Genomic DNA, 6,905 nt, shown 5'->3' with positions numbered 1-6,905 from the left:
TCAAGGGGAGTGGTTCTGGCTATTGCCCATTCAGTATGATGTTGAGTGTGGGTTTGTCATATATGGCTCTTACTATTTTGAGGTATATTCCTTCAATACCTAGTTTATAGAGAGTTTTTAATATGAATGAATGTTGAATTTTATCAAAAGCCTTTTCTGCATCTATTGAAGTGATCATGTGGTTTTTTTGTCTTTAGTTCTATTTATGTAATGAATTACATTTACTGATTTGTGTATGTTGAACCAACATTGCATCCCAGGGATAAAGCCTACTTGATCCTGGTGGATAAGCTTTTTGATGTGCTGCTGAATTTGGCTTGCCAGTGTTTTGTTGAGGATTTTTGCATCGATGTTCATCAAGGATATTGGCCTGATGTTTTCTTTTTTTCTCCTATGTTTGCCAGGTTTGGGTATCAGGATTATACTGGCCTCCTAGAATGAGTTAGGGAGGAGGACTTCCTCCTCAATTTTTTGGAATAGTTTCAGTAGGAATAGTACCAACTCTTCCTTGTACATCTGGTAAAATTAAGCTGTGAATCCATCTAGTCCTGGGCTTTTTTTTTTTTTTTTTTTTTTGGTTGGTAGGCCACTTATTACTGCCTGAATTTCATTGTTTGTTATTGTTCTGTTCAGGGATTCAATTTTTTTCCTGGTTCAGTCTTGGGAGGGTGTATATGAGCAGGAATGTATCCATTTCTTCTAGATTTTCTAGTTTATATGCATAGAGATGTTCATAATATTTTGATTGTTGTTTGTATTTCTGGAGTGTCAGTGGTAATATCTCCCTTTGTGTTTCTGGTTGTGTTTATTTGAATTTCTCTCTTTTCTTCTTTATTAGTATACCTAGTGGCCTATCTATTTTACTAATATTTTCAAAAAATAGCTCCTGGATTTGTTGATCTTTTGAATGGTTTCTGGTGTCTCAGTCTTCTTCAGTTTAGCTCTGATTTTGGTTCTTTCTTGTCTTCTGCTAGCTTTAGGATTTGTTTGTTCTGTTCTTTAGGTCTTTTAGTTGTGATGTTAGGTTGTTAACTTGAGATCTTTCTAACTTTTTGATGTGGGCATTTATTGCTATAAATTTGCCTCTTACCACTGTCTTATTTGAGACCTAGATACTCTGTACATTTTCTCTTTGTACTCATTAGTTTCAAGAACTTCTTGATTTCTGCCTTAATTTCATTGTTTACCCAAGAGTCATTCAGCAGCAGGTTGTTCAATTTCCATGGTTAGAATTTCTTTTAAGAATGTTGAATATTGGTCCACAGTCTCTTCTGTCTTGTAGGGTTTCTGCTGAGAGGTCTTCTGTTAGTCTGATGGGCTTCCCTTTGTATATGAGTCTGATGGGCTTCCCTTTGTATATGACCTGGCCTTTCTCTCTAGCTGCCTTTAACATTTTATTCTTTCATTTTGACCTTGGAGAATCTGAAGATTATGTGTCTTAGGGATGACCTTTTTGTGAAGTATCTTACTGGGCTTCTCTGAATTTTCTGAATTTGAATGTTAGCCTCTCTAGTTAAGTTGGGGAAACTCTCCTGGAAAATATACTGAAGTATGTCTTACAAGTTGGTTCCATTTTCCCCATCTCTTTCATGTATACAAATCATTCATAGATTCAGTCTCCTTACGTAATCCCATAGTTTCATAGGTTTTGTTCATTCCTTTTTATTCTTTTTTCTTTACTCTTTTCTCCCTGTCTTATTTAAGAAAGCCAGTCTTTAAGCTCTGAGATTGTTTCCTCTGCTTTGTCTATTCTGCTATTAATATTTGTGATTGCATTATGAAATTCTTGTAGTATGATTTTTAGCTCTATAGAGTCAGTTATGTTCTTCTTTATACTGGCTATTTTGTCTGTCAGTTCCTGCAATGTTTTATTATGATTTTTAGCTTCCTTGAATTGGATTACCACATATTCCTGTAGCTCAGTGAACTTTGTACCTACCCCTATCCTGAATTCTACTTCTGTCATTTCAGCCATCTTCAGCCTCAGCCTTGTTCCAAAACCTTGGTGAAGAGGTGTTGCAGTCATTTGGAGGAAAGAAGGCACTCTGACTTTTTGAGTTTTCGGCATTCTTGCACTGATTCTTTCTCATCTTTGTGGGCTTATCTATCTTCAATCTTTGAGGCTGCTGATCTTGGATTTTTTTTCTTTTATCCTATTTGATTACCTTGAGGGTTTCATTGTGGTATAAGGTGGATTCAGTAGACTGGCTTCATTTGGGGGAGGTTTTAACGTTCCACTCCCAACTTCTGGACGGTATGCTCTAACTCTTGGGGACTTGTATTGGGCCCCAACTTTATTCTCTGGATTCTCAAAGTTTACAGTCCACTGCACTAGTGGGAAAGGGCATTCAGGAGCAGGAGGGCCCCTGCTGGAGACTGTGTGTGCTGTTGCACTCAAGGTGGTGTTAGCTTCGAGTATGGTGCTGCCTGGTGCAGATTTAGGTGCCTCCCTGTGCTCCGCAAGTGGAAGTGATTGCTCAGGATGTGGGAGGATCCCCTGTCTTCTGCCCAGCATTAGGACAAGGGTGGGGCACTAGTGGGTGCAGGGCATGCTGGTTCTGTGCGTGCCAAGACTACATCTGCAATGGTGGTCAACAGGGGTGGGGCAGTGTACTGTACTTCTGCATGCTGGCAGGGCAAGTAAAGCAAAACCTGCCTGTGCAGTTACATGCCAGCAAAATGATGTGGGGACTTGCCATGGGCTCAGGGGAAGCTGTAGTATAAGAAGGGAAGGTGTGAGCTGGTGCATGGCCATAAGGGTTTCCACACTGGACCTCTCCACTGGTCAGGCACGGTCTGCTATCATAGAAGCTATGTTGTTTGCCCCAGGGCACCTTGAACTCCCCTGTAAGTGGTCATGGCCAGGCTGGGGCCCTGTTAGATACCAGTGGACCATGGAGTGCTCAGGTCTGACCAACCTCATCTGATGTGCCAGACCACCCAGCAGAGATCAAGTCCAACACTTCCCCTAAGGCTAACGTCTCTTATGGGAGCAAGTTGAACCTAGAAGGATGGCCGTTCCTGGCCACACTCCACTAAAGGTGCGGCTCCACACCAAACCCTCTGGAGTCCACATCAGCTGGCTTGCTGCCCCACTACTTTGCTTGTCTCCTGGGGACTCCACCCCAGATAGATGTGGGTCAGCAATCACTCAGTGAAATCAACCCAAGATGGAGGGTTCTAGCCAAGAGTTCCCTGTCTGGTGACAATCAGTAGAGGGTGTATGGGACCCATGAGAGATGGATTGGCCTCCTCTGCTTGGGTCAACTGCAGCTTGTTGGAGATGTGGATGAGGCACCTAAGGTCTTTGCTCCTTCATTAGTCTGAGGGTAATAAAAACAGTTTCTCTTCAAAGACAATGGAAGAGAGGTTTTCAGTTGCTCCTGGAGGCTCTGTTCAGGGAATTGCCAAGTTGCTACTGGCTTGATAGCTCTGGTCAGGGGTGGCTAGAGGCCCAGGCATGGAAGACCTGCCTGCTGAGGAGATATGGGAATGGGCACACATGTAACAGTCTAGCCAGTTTTCTGTAGGGCTGCTGTGATATTCTGGGGGTCTCGTCTAGTTTCTAGTTGCCTCACATTTTCAAGTACCTGGAGTTGTCACCAGTGAAGGCTGTGAAACAGCAAAGATGGCAGCCTGCCTCTCCCTTTGGGAGCTCAATCCCAGGGAGGTATGGACCTATTGCCAGCCCAAATGCACCTGTAGGAGGTGGCTTGAGACCTCTGTTGGGAGGCTCTACCGAGTGATGATGAATGGGATCAGGGACCTGCTTTAAAAAGCAGTCAGGCCACATTTTCACAGAGCAGCTGTGCTATACTGGGGTACTGCCTCTGTCCCCAATTAGTTTGGACTTTCCAAAGCCCAAGGGCTGGAATGGATAAGTTGCCCAAACAGCAACGATGGCAGCCCACCCCCCCACACCAAGGGAGCTCTGTCCTAGAGAGGTTTCATATCTCTGTACGCAGGAGGACACTGATCCAGGTGGCTGGAGGCCCCAGCTGTGCTGTGTTGAGGTATCACCTCTGCCCCCAGTCAGCTTGGAGTCTCCTAAGCCTGAAGGTTGGAATGGCTAAGTCACCTAAACATCAAAAATGGCAGCCCACCCATCCCTCTGGGAGCTCCATCTCAGGGAGATGTAATGCTGCTACTGGTGGCTGGCTGGAATTCAAAGACAGTGGGTCTTATCTTGTAAGGTGCCATAGAAGTGGGGTCTGCAGACTGCTGCTGCTTGGCCTCCTGGATTTAGCCTTTTTCCTAGGGGTATGTATGGGAGTCTAACCTCCTGCTTTGCTGGAGTTGCAGCTGCTTTTGCCAGGATGCCCATAAACCCTGAGTATCTAAAGCTCCTTGGTCTCTGCACATGGCTGAGTGGCTGCTCTGCCAAGACTCCACATAGCTCTGTGTGTCAGACTTAAAGCCCTGGTGAAGTAGGTTCATGAATGAGAGCATCTCCTGACCTAAAAGTTGCAAAAATCCATGAGAGAAGCATGGGTTTCCAGGGTTGCACATTCATTCACCACTTCCCTGGGTGAGGGATGTTCCCCTGGTTCTGTCATTCCAGATGGGCCATCATCCTCCCTCACTTTTCTCCATTCTCTTTGGGTCAAGTTGTTTCCTTGATTATTCCCAATGTAAGTGGCTGGATGTTTCGGTTGAAGTTGCTGTATTTACTTACCCCTTCTGTTCCTCTCCATGAGAGCAACACACACTAGCTGCTAGTAGTTGGCCATCTCAGCCACCTCCTTTAAATGTGGCATGTTTAAAGAAAAGATATTACAACTAAGAATTTCATATCCAACCAAACTAAGCTTCATAGCAAAGGAGAAATAAAATCCTTTTCAAACAAGCAAATGCTAAGGGATTTTTTTTTTTAACACTAAACCTGTCTTATAAGAGGTCCTAAAGGGAGTGCTAATCATGGAAATGAAAGATCATTACTGGCCACCACAAAAACATACTTAAGTACATAATCCATTGACACTATAAAGTAACTACACAATCAAGTCTTCATAACAACAAAATGACAGGATCAAATCCATGCATATCAATATTAACCTTGATTATAAATGGGCTAAATGGTTATTAAAAGACAAAGAGTGGCAAGTTGGATAAATAAGCAGGATCCAAATCTATGCTGTCTTCAAGACTGTATGCTGTCTTCAAGAGACCCATGTCACATGCACTGACACAAATAGGGTCAGAGTAAAAAGGTGGAGAAAAATCCATCAAACAAATGGAAAACAAAAAGAGCAGGGGGTGCTATTCTTACTTCAGACAAAACAGACTTTAAACCAGCAATGATCAAAAAAGACAGAGAAACATCATATAGTGATAAAGACTTAAATTCAATAAGAAGACTTAACTATCCTAAATATATACACACCCAACACTGGAGCACCCAGATTCATAAAACAAGTTCTTAGAGACTTATGAAGAGACTAGATAACCATACAATAATAGTAGGAGACTTGAACACTCCACTGACACTATTAGACAGATCATTGAGACAGAAAACCAACAAAGATATTCAGGATCTAAACTTGACACTTGACCAAATGGACCTAACAGACAACTATAGAACAATCCCCTCAACAATAGCAGAATACACATTCTTCTCATCTGCACATGGCACATACACTAAAGTTAACCACACTGTTGGCCATAAAGCAATTTTCAACAAATCCCAAAAAAACTGAAATTATACCAACTACACTCTCAGATCACAGAATAAAAATAGAAACTATACCAAGATCTCTCTAAATCACAGAATTACACAGCAATTTAACACTTGCTTCTGAATCACTTTGGGATAAACAATAAAATTAGGATAGGACCAAGAAATTCTTTGAAACTCATGAAAGTAAAAATACAGCATATCAGAGTCTCTTGGACACTAAAGCAGTGTTAAGAGAAAGTAATAGTGCTAAACATTGACATCAGACAGTTAGAATGATCTCAAATTAACAACATAGAAGAACGATAAAAACAAGAGCAAACCAACACCAAATATAGCAAGAGAAAATAACCAAAATCAGAGCTGAACTGAATAAAATTGAGATGCAAAAAATCATACAAAACATTAACAAAACCAATAGTTGGGGTTTTTTAAGGTTAATATTCTACTAGCTAGACTAATAAAGAAAAAAGGGAAAAGATCCCAGTAAACATAATCAGAGATAACAAAGGAGTTCTTATCAGAGTCCCCAAAGAAATACAAGAAGCCATCAGAGACTATTTTGAACACCTCTATGCACACAAAGTTGAAAAGCTAGAAGAAAATGATAAATTCCTTGAAACAAAGAACCTGTTGGATTGAACCATAAGGAAACTGAAACCCCAAACTGATCAGTAACAAGTTCTTGAATTGAATCAGTAATAAAAAGCCTACCAACCAGAAAAAGCTCTGGCAGATGAATTCACAGCTGACTTCTACCAGACATACAGAGAAAAGCTGACAAAAGTCCTACTGAAACTATTCCAAAGAAGGGAGGAAGAGGGATTGATCCCTAACTTATTCTATGAGTTTGATAACAAAACCTAGCAGAGACACAATGAAAAAAGAAAACTTCAAGCCAGTATCCCTAATAGACATATATGCAAAATCCTCAAAAAAAAAAAAAAAAAAACTAGCAAACTGAATCCAGCAGCACATAAAACAGTGAATCCACTGCAATCAAGCAGGCTTTATTCCTGGGATGCAAGGTTGGTTCAACATACACAAATCAATAAATGCAATTCACCATATAAACAGAACTAAAAAGAAAAACCACATGATTATCTCAACAGACACATAAAAGACTTTTGATAAAATTCAATACCCCTTAAAGTTAAAAAACCCTAAACAAATTAAGAAATAAAGGAACATACCTCAAAATAATAAGAGCAATTGATGAAAAATCCACAGC

This window comes from Homo sapiens, chromosome 5 (genome assembly GCF_000001405.40).
Source record: "Homo sapiens chromosome 5, GRCh38.p14 Primary Assembly".
NCBI classification, from domain to species: domain Eukaryota; kingdom Metazoa; phylum Chordata; class Mammalia; order Primates; family Hominidae; genus Homo; species Homo sapiens.
The sequence above is the reverse complement of the archived record's forward strand: the minus strand, read 5'-3'. Positions refer to the sequence as shown.